We start from the raw sequence: 17966 nt of genomic DNA, 5'->3' as shown, positions 1-17966 counted from the left end.
CCAGCCATCCCATTACTGGGTATATACCCAAAGGACTATAAATCATGCTGCTATAAAGACACATGCACACGTATGTTTATTGTGGCACTATTCACAATAGCAAAGACCTGCAACCAAGCCAAATGTCCAACAATGATAGACTGGATTAAGAAAATGTGGCACATATACACCATGGAATACTATGCAGCCATAAAAAAGGATGAGTTCATGTCCTTTGTAGGGACATGGATGAAATTGGAAATCATCATTCTCAGTAAACTATTGCAAGAACAAAAAACCAAACACCGCATATTCTCACTCATAGGTGGGAATTGAACAGTGAGAACACATGGACACAGGAAGGGGAACATCACACTCTGGGGACTGTTGTGGGGTGGGGGGGAGGAGGGAGGGATAGCATTGGGAGGTATACCTAATGCTAGATGACGAGTTAGTGGGTACAGCGCACAAGCATGGCACATGTATACATATGTAACTAACCTGCACATTGTGCACATGTACCCTAAAACTTAAAGTATAATAATAATAATAATAATAAAGAAAATTCATTCAATATATCTTCATATACCTATCTGTATATGTTGTATGTCTTTGTAAGGTGTTTGTATTCTGTACTGCTGTCACACACTTTTAAGCCTGGGAGGGGTCAGTATGTCTCAGGTACTGTGTAGCTCCCCATTTGCTACAGATTTCTTCTGTGGGCCCAGACAATATTTCTCTCTGTGTATAAAGGCATATATGGCTAAAACCTACTCTTCCTCAAAACTGCTTGGTAATGATAGGATATAATATAGGTAAATTTCACTCAAATATTTCCTAACCTGTGATAGTTATAACATATTCTATAGGTATTAGTAAGTCTACATTTAAAAACCAAACCAAAATTTTCACCATATTCTAATCTTTATCCAATATTACTCAAACTCAATTAAAGAGGCCAGATAAAGTATAGGCATCAGGCTACTCTCCCTTCATTTTTATCCCTTTCACTCATCCCTAAGTGTTTCTTCTTCAGCTGCTAGCAATCCCAACATTTCCCAGTTCCTAAATGAAAGCATTCAGTCACATATCATGGATGAAAATACATACACAGGAGAAGAAATTTGTCTGCATCTTGCAGACTTGTCAAAATGACCCATTATACAGATAAAGAAAGTGCATAAAATATCTATTCACATGCATTGTAACCACAAATAAACGGTGTGAATTATATCTGGATGCTTACATATGAATGATTTAAATTATTGTGACATCTTTCCTTTTCCAAAATATCACAATGGCAATGAAACCACTGAGTATAATCCTGATTAATTAGAATCCAAGTTTGTTTTGATAAAGTAGCAAGCACAGCCAGAGTGAAAAATACCGGGTAACTAAGAATACAGGCCCAAAAGGAAAAAAGAACCCCGAGACAGGGTGGCAATCCATTTTAATGGGAATGGGTCTGGATATTGACTTAGAAGACTGGGAGTCAAATCTCAGCTTAGTTACTTATGAACAGTGAAACTCCAGAGAACCATTAAGTGCTAGGCAATGGAAGATGTAAACACGACTACAACACTTTCTAATGGATAAGATGCTTGTGAATAGATCATTATAATACTATGATGAAAATGCTTCAAAAGAGAAAATAATAGCATAGAAAAAAAGGAGAAGGAAACAACACATTCTCTTGAGTTTAATACGTTTTCACAAAGTGGACAAGTTAAAGAGTAAGTAGGCATTTGCCAGATGGGAAACAGAAAGAACATTCAAGGCCAATAGAGCTACAGGTAAAAAGCATGTAACAGTGAATGAGCATGATAAGAAAAGGAGTTTAAGAAGGTCAGTGGATCTGGAGGCCACTGGTTATAGGGTAATGGAGAATTTGGGCTCAGTGAGCTTGGAAAGCCTGGATTTTAGAGGATTTTGCCTGATACGCATCAGAGGCTTTGAACTCTATCTCATGGACACACCAAGTCATATGAAAGGTCTTTTAGTAGAGAAATCACAGGGTTCAATGTGTGCTCTACCTAAAGTAACCTTTGCTAAAGTCTGGAGAAACAGTTGTCACTGTAAAAGTATGTGGGAGGCCATTTTTAAAAGGCTAGGCAAGACATATGGGGGCATATGAGAGACTTGCCTAGGACAGGAATTATGTAATTAGATAGTAAAAGCCAAATTCCAGAAACGTGTCAGCTGGAATCATTACTTGGGATACAAACTGAATGGTAATGGTTTGTGAGAAATGTTGGAAGTATAATTTTTGAATTTAAAAGAATAGGGTTTGGTTTAAAGTTTTAGAAGCCATCAGTTTATAAATGGTAGCTGCAGCTATGACAGAGGCTAAGATCTACCAAGAAGAATGTATAGAACACAAAAGTTGGAAGGGTGCCTTCAGGGGAATACCAACATTGAAAGGATAGGCAGAGGTAGAGGAAAGCCAAGTAGGGTTAAATAGTAAGATAATCAGAGAGGTAGAAAGATTTCAGGAGCTAGTTGTAGATGACAGGCTAAACTGAAGGGAGGATTTTAGTAATAGAAAGTAATCAAAGAAACAAGTGTCACAGAGATCATGTGAGCTGAAGACTCTATAAAGATCTTGTGTGAGAAAAACATCCAGAACAATAATACTGGGGCAAGGCAGAATATTCATTATACTCGAAATGCATCCTTTTATTTGAAGTCAGCTTAATGGTTCTATACATGTTACAACAAGTCATTGAATGTGAGCTCAGTAATGATCGCAGTGTTAAGCCTGCAATACTAAACACTGTGTCAATTTTCTAGAAACATCTGTGGTGTCTTTATATGTGGCAGAGTTATCATATTGACAATAAATTAATATGATCTTTCTCAGTTTTATGCACCATTTTTTCTGTTTATTTGAAATAAATTATTACTGTATCAATATATTAATGCGATTTTTAGCATTATTATTGGGATAGTCGGCACAAAACACTGGTATCACAAAACAGTGATAAAGTGTTAGCCATAATGTTAATCACTTCCATTTGAAGTGATCCTTCTTTGAAGGTCTCAAATATTAGCACTTGGTTTTTCTGTGCAAGTACATTTGCTATTGCGGCAGAGTTGAGATTTAAAAATCAATAGTAAAAAAATAAATATTCCAAATATTTTTGCCATGAAAGAACTTAGAGATGTGCTCATGCATGAGAAAAGGAAGATCTGAACTTCACAACTGAAGAAAAAGTTCACATTTCTCCTAATTTACTGTTAAATGGTGGAACATATCTCTTCACATGCATATTCACTGCTACATATTTAGTGAAAACATATTGAAAATAATTCCTTGCATCTAAATCTAATTTTGGCATTATCTAAAATTTAAGTTGCTTAAATTTTATCTCACTTTAAAGATATTAAATTTTATGTATGAATTGGATCAAAGTACAAAAATACAACTATGTATAGTATCTATTGAACCTACCTAAATATATAATGCCTTTTTATCTCATGGCTTTGTTTCCCCCTTATTATATTATATAAATATATAAATATTATATTACAAGTAATATCATAATTTAAAATAATTGTTATTTTCTAATGCATATTCACAAAATACCCTCAACTTCTGTGTTGCCTCTGGAAATGCACATTCAGGGTGCATTAGAAACATGCTACTTTGTCTGTGGTTTTCTGGGAAGCTTTGAGGTTTTAACTTTGATCTCTCCTCTTACACACGGAGATTTTCTCCCGACTCCACTAGCCAAGACAGAATTTCTACCCTTGATCTCTAAGGTAATTTCAAATATACTCTTGACACCAGCATCACTCAGTGGCAAAAGTTTCCCTCTTAACCATGGTGTGTTTACTCTTCAGTTTCTCTGTTGGCCTTTGCTCCCTAGACTCAAAAGTGACTTTTTTAAACTTTCCACCCCCAGGAATAGTTTTTCAGTCATTTAGTTCACATGTTTTCTGCTTTGACTAAAGTATTTTGAGGTCCCATTTTTGTTTCCTCAACTGTTTAAGCTCCTTTATCTGAGGAAACTAGATTTTCTCTTTGATCTGCCAAAGAATCTGCTACATCGTTTGACCACAGGGTGAATTCTACTTAAAGTGACTCCATATTTTTGTGGCACTCTCATTCATCCCTTTTTAAATGCTGCATCTCTGTCAAGGTACTCCGCACCTTGGATATCAAAGTTGTAGGGCTTTTTTGACTAGTTAACCCATTGCTATCAAATCTTATCTCAGAGATTAATCTGTCATCAGTCACTTTTACCTTCATGTGCCATTAGTACGTTACTTCAATTGGGGATATTTGCAAATGAACTCTGTCTTTCAAAGGTGGGAAGAAAAGTAGGAGTTTGTTTGACATAAAACATAACAAGTTAACAAACTACTGGCACTTTTGCAAAGAAGGCCTTTCCAAAGCCTATCAGCCTATAGAATACTTTTCCTTTTGCCATTCATTAAGAAGAAACAGATTGTCCGGGCGCGGTGGCTCATGCCTGTAATCCCAGTACTTTGCGAAGCCGAGAAGGGCGGATCACCTGAGGTTGGAAGTTTGAGACCAGCCTAACCAACATGGAGAAACCCCATTTCTACTAAAAATACAAAATTAGCCTGGCATGGTGGCGCATGCCTGTAATCCCAGCTGCTCGGGAGGTTGAGGAATGAGAATCGCTTGAACCCGGGAGGCAGAGGTTGCAGTAAGCCAGGATCGCACCACTGCACTGCAGTCTGGGCAACAGAGTGAGACTCCGTCCAAAGGAAAAAAAAAACAAACAGATCATGTACAAGGGAAGAAGATATCTATTAATCTGCATCTGTGTCAGTCTTTCACATAAATTGACGAAGTATACTAATAATTCTGTGTACTTTAACCACTACATAGAACTTTCACAGATATTTTCTGACAAATAGTTTCACAGCCTGAGTTAGGTGTTAACATTTTCATCCCAATTTAATAAAGTCAAATTTATAAAGGATCAAGACTTTTAAAGGACCTCAATTAGTAGTGATTGGATTTGGAACTCCATTCCAGGTCTTCTGTTGCACATCTTGCTTACTTTTCCCAATATCACAGCTACTATAGTTATGATTCCAGTGCTTCTCCAAACCTACCATTTTCCCAGTCACTTCTTTTCAACCAGTGCTTAGCTTCCAGAATATGAATCTAACACAGCATTAAATGAGTTTAATACCAGTTGCAGATGGATTTCAGATCAATGTTATAAATGCAACTTACAAATAAGTTGAAATAGTTTACTTGGCATTTATCCTAACCAAGATCATTCTGAATTCGAGGGGTAGTGCCAGACCACAATTATACAAATGTCATTGTTAATATCCTTAAATTATTATTATTCTAGCACTGCCATTTGACTATTAATACACTATTAATACTGCCTTTCTTGCAACATTTGCCTGCCTTCTGCAGTTCTTTTTGAACCCATTTCTTTCATTAGCGGCAAAATTCTCACTTATATCATCTGAATATTCCTATAGTTGATAGGAGTTCCTCTGGCAACAAGGGCTCTTTTACAGAACACTCATTACTACGGCTCCAAACAGGAAGGTACCGATTTCTGGATTGAATTAAATTAAATTTAACAGATCTTTAAAAGTTGTCATGGCCTCTAAGGTATTAAGTATAGAATTTCTATTACTAAAGTCTAACCTAGTTATATTCAATTATTCATTTATTCTAAAAACATTTATTGTACTAAGCTATTCCAGTTTCCAAAATTACCTCCTAGAAATGTATGCTTGTATATCTCATTTGTTTCTATCAAGGCTCTATTACAAAAATAAACATGAAATATTGCTATGTGAAATTTTAAGTATGCTTGCTTTTAGAGAGATAAAGAGGAGATATTATGAATGTATAATTCCCTGGTGAAATCATATTTCTGACATTGGCTTAATGTTGTACACCACTAATCTATTTTTTACATTTCTCTTTTGTCTGAATACAACATGGGCAGGTTAAAAGATGCCGAGGTAAATCCAGTGCTGAAGTTTGAATGTACTCCTTGCTCAGACAGATTCACTATCATGAAATCTCTAACTTTAACTATTGCCTTGAATACTGAGCTTAGGCATTGTTTCCACTGACAATAAACAATTACAGCAGATGAGTAATGATTCTTTATGCCTACTACACTAGTAATCTGCTTGATGTATGTACTACTGCTTAGACCAAGGGGATCTTGAGGATCCACTATCATCCTCCCAAGTACCATCTAGATGTTCAATATCAAACAGGACTCTTTTTTTGCCCCTCTCTTAGATAGAGGCATATATTTATGAGTATACATATATCCTCACATAAAAGAAACATTTCTCTGACATTGTACATTTTAACAGGATAAGGTCTAGGGAAGTGAAAAAATTTTTATAACTTGAAACAATGCCATTTACTGTTTTATCAATACATAGATTAAGAAATTTAGGCTTTGCAAAATATTATGGGGGTTAGAAAAAGTCAGAACTCTTCATTTTAAGAAGCATACGATTTAGAGGAGGAGGCAGTCACAGAATAAGGAAATGTTACATGACTACAGTTGCCAGTTAATTATACAGGCAATTTTGTTTAGGAGTTTGGAAATTACTTGAGATTTAGTAGAGAAGGCTTATAAAGGAGATAGAATTTTATCTGGCTTGAAGGCAACTGTGAAATAAAAAAGAAAAAAAAACTGAACTTGTATTTTAAATCTAGTCTCTGTCATTTTGTAGCTCTGTGCCTCAGGAAAGGAATTTAGTATGTGCAAGCCATAGTTTCTTAATCTTTAAAATAAACCACTGTTTCAGAGATTTATTTGGAGATTCCACATAAAATCACAAGCATAGGGCCTTGCAGATAGTAGGCTCCCAATAATGTTACATGAAGATAGTTGGAATCTGCATAAAAGAGAAAGGAATTCCAATCAAGGAAAGTGAGCAAAATAATAAAGGTGAAAGAAAACAAAATAAATTCAGTCTATTAAGTGTGCCAGTTTGATTGACATGGGGAACAGATATAAATGAAAAGTAAGGGTCCAGATTGTGAAACCCTCTGCAGAGGAAGCCTAGACTTGACCTTTGGGCAATGGAGAGTAAAAAAAGTATTTCAGCGTGAACATATACTCTCAAAGCAGCATTTTGAAAGTTCAATTCAGAAGCAGCAAACAGTTTTATTTTTCCCTAAGAATTGCATATTTGTAGCCTGAAATATTTTTATGACTATAATAATTTAACCTCAGTCTTCAAATATACCCCTCACAGTGGTCTAAGGATACAGTGATGAAGAATTGCTTAAGGTAGTACAAATTTATCATTCAACTAAGAAAATTAAGTACATTAGGGAGAAACATTTTTTTCTGAGTATTTAAGGAGGCATTTCAGCATCCTGTAGAAATCAGTTGCTGTTTTTTAAGAGATCTATGTGGTTAAAATGTACACTCTGACAATACAATAATCACAATAGGAGAGGCCCCCCAAAATACATTTGAAAATCAAACAGGATACTGTTTTCAAAAGCAGATGTCCAGACTGAGCACTACACTCACCTAAAATATCCAGGAGGTAAGTCTGAGTAAACTTTGTAACCTGCACTTAGAAGGGTAATGTTGTCAAGACATCTAAGATCTTGAAAACAACTATCACAAAGACTGTCTAGGGATTTTATTTAGTAGCTCTCTGATACGCCAAGTGCTTATTCTTAACAATTGACTATGGCTTTATGACTTTAATCAAGAAGTGTATGTGTGTGTGTGTGTGTGTGTGTGTGTGTGTGTGTGTGTGCACGTGGAGGATAAAGAGACAGGATGATTATACATGGTTATTCTTTAGAGTTCCATGCCAGTGACATTACTGGTATTTCTGAGATGAAGCATCATGTATTATAATTAAATATCAACACTGATTGCTGATGTCTACCTTGGTTCTTGAAAGAGTTCAAGTCTTTGGCACAGTCACATTCTTAGTTACTCTGCAAAAACTCTAATGAAGAAAGTGAGAAAGATGTGTTAATATTTAATAAGCCTATTGATCGATTGCTGTGCCTCCTAAAATGTTCATCTCTTTGACTGGTGGGAAATGAACTTCATTAGGCTTTCTCTGCCACCTTATAGCTCCTTGTTAACATTTCCCCTTTGGGGTCCCTGAGAAAAAACGCCCAGCTTCTATTCATGAATCTCTGCCAACGATAATCTCTTGCACTATTTTCTATATTCATTTGCTGAGAAAAGAGGATGTAAATCTCATTTTGCAAGGAAAACATTATCAGTTCTTTGTGATTGAAAGTAAAATTTGTGAAATGGTATTTTTATGATTCATAGAAATAACCAGTAGATTGATTTAATATATGGAAGCTAGTATTATATTTAGTTTTAAGCTATGAATATAAAAAATATTAAGCACTTTTTCATATTTTAGCTTCCTCTTACATGTTTTATTTGAAAAAGCAAAAGAAAAAATGTGGAGCTCTGAAAAAAGAGAAACTACTAGAAAACGTTTATGTAAAATAGTTACTATAAAATTTCATTTATTTAAAAGACTTCAAATAAAGGAGGAAGAGGCAACAGAGAAACAACATTTACATAGTGCTGGTAGCAAAACAGAAATAATTCTTATTGATAAAATAATTACCAACGTAATACTTCAAGATATTTTGGCATATAATTTTAGATAATATGATATATGCATAAAGGACTGACATTAAAGCTGAACTTAACAGTAGAAAGAAATGGTTAAATATACTGATAATTTAGTATGTGCCAGGAACTTGTTAAATATTTAATATACATTATCTCATTTAAGTCTAATAAAAAGAAACGAGATATATACTATATACTATTGTTATTCCTATTTTACCAATGAGAAATCTCAGGAAGAGATTATTAAAAAGTTTTTCAAGTTTACACTCTATAGAAAAATTTTTAAGTACCCCAAAGGGGAGCCAGACCAAAGCATTTGGCTTCCAGAGTCCAAGCTTCTAAGGAATTCATAGATGCATTCACAGATGCAGTCATAGAGGCAAGGCCAAAAAGGAATCAGGTGAATTTTCCACTTTTGTAAACTCACCTATTTCCAGAGAAAGCAGAAGAGAGAATACAAACAGAAAAGCTAAACAGCCAAGAGAAAGGTTGTTTCAGAATCTGTCAAAATGAAAAATATTTCTTCTTACCAGAGCTCCTTTTGGTTATTTCAACCTGAACATGAATGTTCAGAAAACCAGGAGACAGAGAATGAACAGAAGTATTTCTTGCCTCTTAATTCTCTAGCTAAAGCAATGGCAGTAATTCTCAGTTGCTAAGGAATTGTTTCAAGTCTAGTCCTTTGCTGATGATGGAATTTTCTTGACTTCCAAGCATTCAAGAACCCAAACTGATGCAAATGTGCTTCCACCAGAATCCATGGCCACATAATTTGCAGAGCCCAGTAAAAAACAAAAATGTGAGGCTCAGTATTCATGAACTATTAAGAATTTCAAAATGTTTACAGGAGAACATTAAACCAAACTCAGACCCCTGTGTCTGCATTGTTTGTATAGCCATGAAGCTTGACTACTCACAGCCAAATTCTGAGTGCTATTCTGTGAATTCTTCAAAGGGAGAAGGCTTGTGACCATTTATAGTATGTGCCTTTGGCCAGAAATTTTGAATATTTGTAACATATAATATTTTAGTTTTCTTCCCTCATTTGAGGCAGATTTATTTGTGGCATTCAATTATAACGTTCTTACTTTATTCAGGACACTACAAGAAAAAGACTTTATATTTTCTGAGAGGAAATAAGGATTCCTGTGATTTCTGGATAATCTTTAAAGAGAGACTTTGAACAGAGCACATGTTGATGTTATTATTTTCTTCCTTTTTAATGTAGTCTAGTTCTGGAAAAGGGGTACATAGATCTTTGTGTAACCACCCAAGAGCAATAAAAATAATTAGAGTTTATCCTATCTTTTAAACATGAAGAGAAAACATCATTACATGTTGGTTTCAGAAGGCATCCATCCTATATGGGGTTGGGGGAGAGAGTTGGAAGAGCAAACATGAAGAGTAATGACAGCAAACTTTTCCTTCTATACCTCACTCAAAGTTTCCCCTGCCTCCAATTTTATCATCTCACCATTTTCAAGTAGAATTGGCAGGATTGAAACTAGGTAATTTTGATGGGGAAAATATTGGCCATGTGAGAATGAAAGGGCGACCCACCAAACACATTAGCACCTATATAGAACAAGGTGCAAATAGAAGATAACCAATAAATATGTACAGAGGTAATAATTTTATTACTACTATGAAATTTACCAAATATAAACTTACATTATTGTAAGTTATAACATAGAGGAGGGGTCAGGGTAGGGAAAACTGGATTGTTGAGAGACACAATCATAAATTAGCCTTTATCTAGCAATTGCTAGGAGCTATGCCTTATCATCTATTACATCCATCAGAGCTTTATCATGTGACTCTGCTTGAATACCACTGAGGAACACCATTCTCAGATTGCGTAACGTACTTGGCTCCACCTAGAGTTGTGCTTTTTGGAATTCCTGAAGAAAATATTACTGATGCAATACCACTGAATGACAATAAACACTTTATTAGCATTTAAAACAAAGCTATTAGATGTTATAACTACGTGCTAGGAGGAAGCAGTGAAAAAGGGAGTGGTGGATAAAGGGATGACTAAACTGATAAATTAATGAAGAACTAACAAATACCATAAAATAGATTCTTTCATTTTGACTATTATTTGGAGATGAAATATTGAATAAACCACTGAAAGCATGTTTAAGTTTTGATATGTCATAATATATGTGAAAACAGGTACCATATTGCTACAATCCCTTCTTGAATTGTGTTTCTGAAGCTTAATTTGTAAGACTTAAGCATTTCTCCTCTCTTAACCTTCCCATTCCTCATGAATAATTTTTTGGTAGAATCCCATGTTTTCTGATTATATAGAGACTTAACTTAGTTATGTCCTTTGTTGAATGTTGAATATTTAAATACAGCTTTTATTTTAACTGCAAGCTTTTTCTTGTAGCTAGAGTTTTTGATTTTGAGAAGAATAAATCTCTTCCCAAATGGCTTCTGTTTATCTTTAAAAGCAATTTATAAGGAAAATAAATCTGTCATAATCAGGTCACCCCAGACATAGTGCTAAAAGCATTCTAATATCTGAGAAATCCTGTGAAATAAGAAGCAATGCTGATTCTGCTCTTAAATGTCACCTAATGGTCTTATATAAGGTTGTCAATTTTAGTGTTAGTTGATTGTTACATCTTAGAAAAAAATTAACTGAACTGAAGTATATTCAGCATATACGTTGTTTTACAATAATTTTTTAACATAGTTTCTTTTGGGACACTTAACAATTTTCCCATTGATTAAATATGCCTACTTGAATTAGATGTAGTTGCTTTACTATACAACTATCTTAGAGGCATTTTGGGAGCTCTGAGCTAGATGTGGGGTTTTGGATTTCATTATTCAGGCTTTTAAAAAATAATAAAATAAAATGCAGCCAACAGCAGGATTGACGTGAAACAAATAATCAAACATCCAGTTATTTTTGAGGAATCAGTTAATTAAATGCTAATGCTGACTGAGCTTGTGTTTTTGTATGTGTTTAATTTTTTTTAAAGAGTTTATGCATTACACATAGAGTTTGTATGTGTGCTCAGGAACAATGCAGTATACAAATTACAAGAATAATTTTTATTCTATGGCAATTGGCTTCATCTTCTCCAATAATTGTTCAGTGCTACAAATAAATTACAGCCATTAGGTGAATTTGGTCAATTATTTTGATAAAAGTTGCAGTGGCAATTAATACTTTTTGGCTATAATATTAATATTATCTGAGTCAGATAGTAATTTTATGCCATGAGTGGATATTTGGAATGCACATCATTTTGCTATTAGCTTATTATAAACTGAAAAGAAAGTTTTCATTACCTAAGGCAAGAATTACAAGCAATTTCAAGAATCTTTAAAATGAAAGGATAATGGGAATTCTTTGAGATACCTCTGACAAGGTCCATGTTCTCCCAGTGAGGGTCAGAGTTCAATTCCTGAACTCATCCATCACATTCTGACTGGCAAGGGCTGAATAGCTGTAAAGACTGCACAGGAGAAAGGGCGCCCTTGCTGACCTCCTAAATCACTTTCACACACACAGTTCAATAAATACACACATCCACTCACAAACACCATGCACAAATAACAATGCATTTTAACTCATTATTAGGACAAGCAAGTTTTAAGATTCTTGGATCCCTAAGGGGTTTATATATTTGAGATTTTCTTTTAAATGCTTATTTTAATCATGTAACAGGAAAACAGCATTTCATATCATTATTTCAGTAACAAATAATCAGTAGAAAAACACTTCATTGATGTCTTTTATACACAATGATTTTGAGCGCCACAAGGGGTACACAAAAAAAAACTGTTTAAGTCAAAACCCCTACTTACAGTCAGTCAGTCAAAACATAACTACTCATCACTTAGAAACCTGTAATCTAATGGTATTTCTTAATAAAATCAGGAATTTAGTGTTAATTTAAAGTGGTTCCAACTGCTGCATCCCACACATTTATTGTCTCTTTTTCTTTGGCTGTGATTTTCATGTTAGAGAATACAGGTTAGGTAATTTTCCCTTGAAGTATTTTCACATCGTCTACTTAGCCTGTTTCACAGAGTAAAACATACCGTAAATTTTCTCCGTAATTTTTCATTCCTCAACTACAATGTGGGCTCCAATATGACAGAAACCACCCCGTCCCCATAGTTGATGACCAGGACTGGTATATTGTAAGTTCTCATTCACTATTTGCCAAATTAATTAAATTTAATTGCCCTCTGAAATCCGGGACCTAAGGAAGGCCTCCCCATAAGTGAAAATAATTGATGATGTAAAAAACAGCATTCTTCTCAGAAGTACAAAGTATGCTTTTCAGACAAAGATCAATTCACATCTTTCCTACATAGCAAAGGTGTTTCAAACTGTGTAACTTATTTAAAGGCCAAGTAAAGTAACTAGGTGGAGGCTTTTCTCTATGTTCATGAAATCAAACCAATCTGGGGTCCATATTCCATCTTCATAATGAAGAAAAGATTGGACCAAGCTTCCCACTGACAGGCCCTCACTTTCATTCATCCCATATTTGTAGGGTCTATCATAGTGCTAGGCATTGTAGGATTTAACACATTTTTCTGAAATTAATTTAACCAAATTCACAAGTGCTTTATTCCTCACCAATCTCCTGTTTCAGGTTGTCTTCAAAAGTTAGAAGATAGGGAGGATTCAAACGACATGACATGATTGCATTATTTAAAATTTCCTTTAAAAAATAGCTTATCAAGAAACCAAATATGCCAAAAAGAAATCACTATGATTCCAGCTTCTAAAGACAGTAAATCTGAGTCTTACAAAATACATTACATATAAAGACATTTTATATAAAGGTTCTTTTTGAAAATCTCTTCTGCCTGGTGTGGTGGCTCACGCATGTAATCCCAGCATTTTGGGAGGCCAAGGCAAGTGGATCACTTGAGGTCAGGAGTTCAAGACCAGCCTGGCTAACATGGTGAAACCCTTCTCTACTAAAAATACAAAAATTAGCCAGGTGTGGTGGTGGGTGCCTGTAATCCCAGCTCCTCGGGAGGCTGAGGCAGGAGAATCACTTGAGCCAGGGAGGTGGAGGTTGTGGTGAACCGAGATCAAACTACTGCACTCCAGCAGGGACAGCAGAGTGAGACCCTGTCTCAAAAAAAAAAAGAGAGAGAGAGAGTAGAAAATCTCTTCTTTACTTAATTACTAATTAGTTAGGGAAAGTCTCATTCAAAAGAAAGTTGCAATAAAAATATAAAAAATTCCAAAATATCCTCAATACTTCTAAAGAAGGAAAAGCAATAATGATAGTGGCTCAATATTACTTACACTGTTTTCTAACTTAAGAAAATCTTGTTCTTTACCAAAAATATTTAATTTTCTAAAGTGTGAGAAAATTAGTAAATTAAATGATGGAATTGGCTTTTTTGCTACTTTCTAAAATACAATATTCTTAGGTTGACCTGAAACACAATTGGCTTAATAAAAAACATTATATAATAAAATTCTTAATTAGCATAATTGCCTATCCAGAATTTCAATTATCCTCTAGAATCTCTTTCTTAAAATTTGGAGAAAGATAAAAATATTTACTTAAGAAAAAATAATCTCAATAATTTAACTAAAATGCAAAATTCACGTTTTAAAACTTAGAATGATTTGAAGCACCAACATATTCTATGTAAAAATCAACAGTTGCAAATATTCTTACTCAAATTTCTTCTTTCTCATACCTTACCAAAGTGGATAGAAACCTATGTGTGCACGCTTGTCCAAACACATGTACATCCTACCTTTTCTGATCTGAGGCTGATAAAATATCTTGTTTTCAACACTGGGGTGCAGATTTCATTCAGCTGTAAGGTTATAGCACCCCCTAGCCCTGCCTAACAGAATAGCAGTCAATTCTGGCAGGAATTGAAGTGTAGTAAAGGAATTTTAAAGAATATATGTAAAACCTGGGTACTTTAAAAAAGTGTTCTCCATTGAAGACGTATCTTATTTTATTTGGTAGCAACCGCTGTATCTATTATAGTTTAGAATTTCTGGTATACAACCTGTTCTAACCCTGAATAGTACCAATTGCTGTTAAAATATAGGAAGCTGATTTATTCTAAAGAGCATGTGGAGCATAAACACATCAAACAGATTTCCACTGGTCCTCTAATTTTTTCCCCCCAAATCATCAACAAGCCAGACACTTGGAGTACAAGTATAGAATATTGGACATGGCTGTGATGGTTATTGGCAAATCTTATACAAATAGACAACAGCTCTCTGGGGACAAAATGTAGGCTGTGGAAAAATATATCTGAATATGACACATGTGGCCACCACTCAGATAAGATCTTTGTTACTATTCTTTTATTCATATATCATATTTTAAGAAAAAAGTTGAAAGATGAAGGATTTGGATGTGCTTGTAATAAATTCAGACTGTTTTGCTTGTCCCGTCTTTGAATCTTCAAGCTTTCCTTATTAAGCTACAATGCCTATTTCCAGCATATGGTAATAGTGCTGATTGCATAGCACCTGTCATTAGGAATTCAGGAATATAAACCTCAAAGGCTTTGATGGGAATTTAAATGGAATACCGATTTGTCAATGCAGCACTCAAGTCTGTAGTATCTGTGGGGTTCACAGGATTCCAATTAGTCTGACATTTTTTTTGCAGACTTCAGAAAAAGAACTATTGTAAAACTTGGAAGCAAACAAAAGATAAGTTTTCTCACCTTACTTGGCCCATATTATAATTTATTCCTCCCTTCGTTCCTGGAATGCTTGAAAGTCATCATTCTTTATTCTGAGATACTGTAAATCTAGATACTGTAAATCACTTGGTCAATGTACATTAAATTTAATTTAGTCTGACCACTGCTACTATTCAAAGACCAGTAAATTGATTATGTTACTAAAAGGTGATCACACTGATACTGCTATTTAATGAACTCCATGCTTGTACATTGCTCCTAATGCACACTATTTTAGATCACTTAGTCAACTCCACTCTAATTGAATTTATCATTTGAAACCTTGACTTGATGCTAATGGTCCAAATATAGCAGAGTCTCTCCAGAGTAGTCCTGTCTACAAAACGCTGTATATTGATGTTTTCTTGCAACAAACACTTGTCTTTCTTGTCTTTTTGTCAGGGCCAGTTGTCAGTTATTGAGGTGCAATTATAAGAAAACTTGCATTTAGGAAAAGATATTGTTGACCTCTGCAAATTGACTGGCAACATCAAAATTTGAAAGTGGAGCTCAGGCAGGCTTAATGGGATATATGCAAATTCTCTCCAAACACAGGCCTGAAACTGTCATATGGCTGTTGTTATTTTAAGATACGCATGATCTCCTCTTTCTGTTCTATCCCCTTTTATTTTCACTAAATGGAGTCAGTATGTTTGCAAGACTAGTCTGGCTTAAGAGAAATGGCAACAGCATTTGCTGGGTTCCACCATGAAGAATCATTACCAGTGCCAGTGGGCTTCATAAACGAGCCCCAGAGAAAAAGTGAAACGGATGTGAAGTGATATTAAAACAGAAAATAGGGGGAGAAAAAAGACATGATTTCTGTAGGTTTACAATCAAGGCACCATTGTAGAAATTAGAAATGAGGAGAGAATAGTAACTGATTATTCTTTAATTTTTTTAAAGAAAGAGGAACCTAATTTAGTGTTGCATTGTGGTTCAAAAATAACTCCGCATAATTCATAACGTGCTGTACATGAGGAGAATCAAATTTCCTAATTATGATCATGATTTTGATAACTTTTATTGAACATAAGCATGCCCATGATCAAATCTCTTAATAGGAAGCTATCTTCCATTTGGTAGCCATAATTTCAAAGCTATGCTATATACATTTCTGTACAGAAACAAGATGAGGATAACTAACACTGCTTGCCAAAAATCAAATTAGAGAATAAACATATGGAGAAATAATATAATTTACAATAAGGATTTTCAACTGAAAAATTACCATCTATACAACGTTTTGGGCAAAAATTAAGGGGTTTATCATCATGGCTTTTACTCAAGTAACACAAGTCAAATAGCAAATCAAACATAATTTTGAAATTACTCAACTTTTCCAACCCCTCTTTCTTTCACATATGTGTGTCCTGTTACATTCACCCTCAACAAACAAATTTGTGAATTACACCTTTTACCTACACCACACTCCTTCATTTTTATTTGGGGTTTGATGGAGTTCTAAATTCTAGATAATTAAAAGTTGTCCATGACTAGGAATGTGCCAAAACCTGGGAAGAATTTATTTACACTTATATAATCTAAACGTTGAGATTCTTTCCTCCAAAACAAACCTCTGTAAGGAATTGTGAAAGGGCTGAAATTTTAGCCTACTTGCAAACTAGTAAGTCAGTCTGCCACAATTTCATATGTACTGGCAGAAAACAAAACACTCTTGGGTCAGAGACATAGGATTTTACTCCTCATGGCACAGAAAGCACTATGAGCTTCATGTTTGTGTCAGCTCCCTTCTTACTCAAATCCTACAGAATGACATAAAATGGTTCCTGTGGAAGCTTTGCACGCAGAGGGTTTGCATCAGAGCTGAGGAACCCTGAGTTTAGAAAACCTTGAGTTTCTGTAATGGACTGGAAGCAAATCTGCCTAATCTTTTCCTAGAGGGAAACATTATCTTTATCACACTAGGCAGCCCACAAATCTACCCTTTACTCTGAGGGACACACCATACATTCTAAGCTGCTTGTTATACAAACATCCATAAGAGATAATCTGGAACAAAAGGAATCAGTGCCTCTGCTTGTGCAGTAATATGATAGACTCATGGAGAACTATCTCCTCAAACGCTCCTGCCTGTGAACTATCACAGAACACATTTTCTGTTCTGTATCATACATTATCTTAAATTCATTTTTTTATCAATATATCGAGCCTCCCCAAGTCAACCATAAGCTGCCATTAAAAATAACTCATTTTTACACCAATAGATTTACTTAATTTCTAAGGTAATGTCATAACATGATTTGTGCTCAATACATATTTAAGAACAATTACTGATGATGATGATTGATTAACTGATTGGTGCTAATTGATTGATGAATCGATGGTGGAAATTATACTATGTCAGGCCTCTGAGCCCAGGCTAAGCCATCATGTCCCCTGTGACCTGCATGTACACATCCAGACGGCTGGTTCCTGCCTTAACTGCTGACATTCCACCACAAAAGAAGTGAAAATGTCCTGTTCCTGCCTCAACTGATGACATTGTCTTGTGAAATTCCTTCTCCTGGCTCATCCTGGCTCAAAAGCTCCCCCACTGAGTAACTTGTAACCCCCACTCTGCCCGCCAGAGAACAACCCCCCCTTTGACTGGATTGGGTAGGATTTACCTACCCAAATCCTATAAAACGGCCCCACCCC

Source organism: Homo sapiens, chromosome 1 (genome assembly GCF_000001405.40).
Source record: "Homo sapiens chromosome 1, GRCh38.p14 Primary Assembly".
NCBI lineage: Eukaryota > Metazoa > Chordata > Mammalia > Primates > Hominidae > Homo > Homo sapiens.
Note: the sequence above shows the minus strand (reverse complement) of the source record.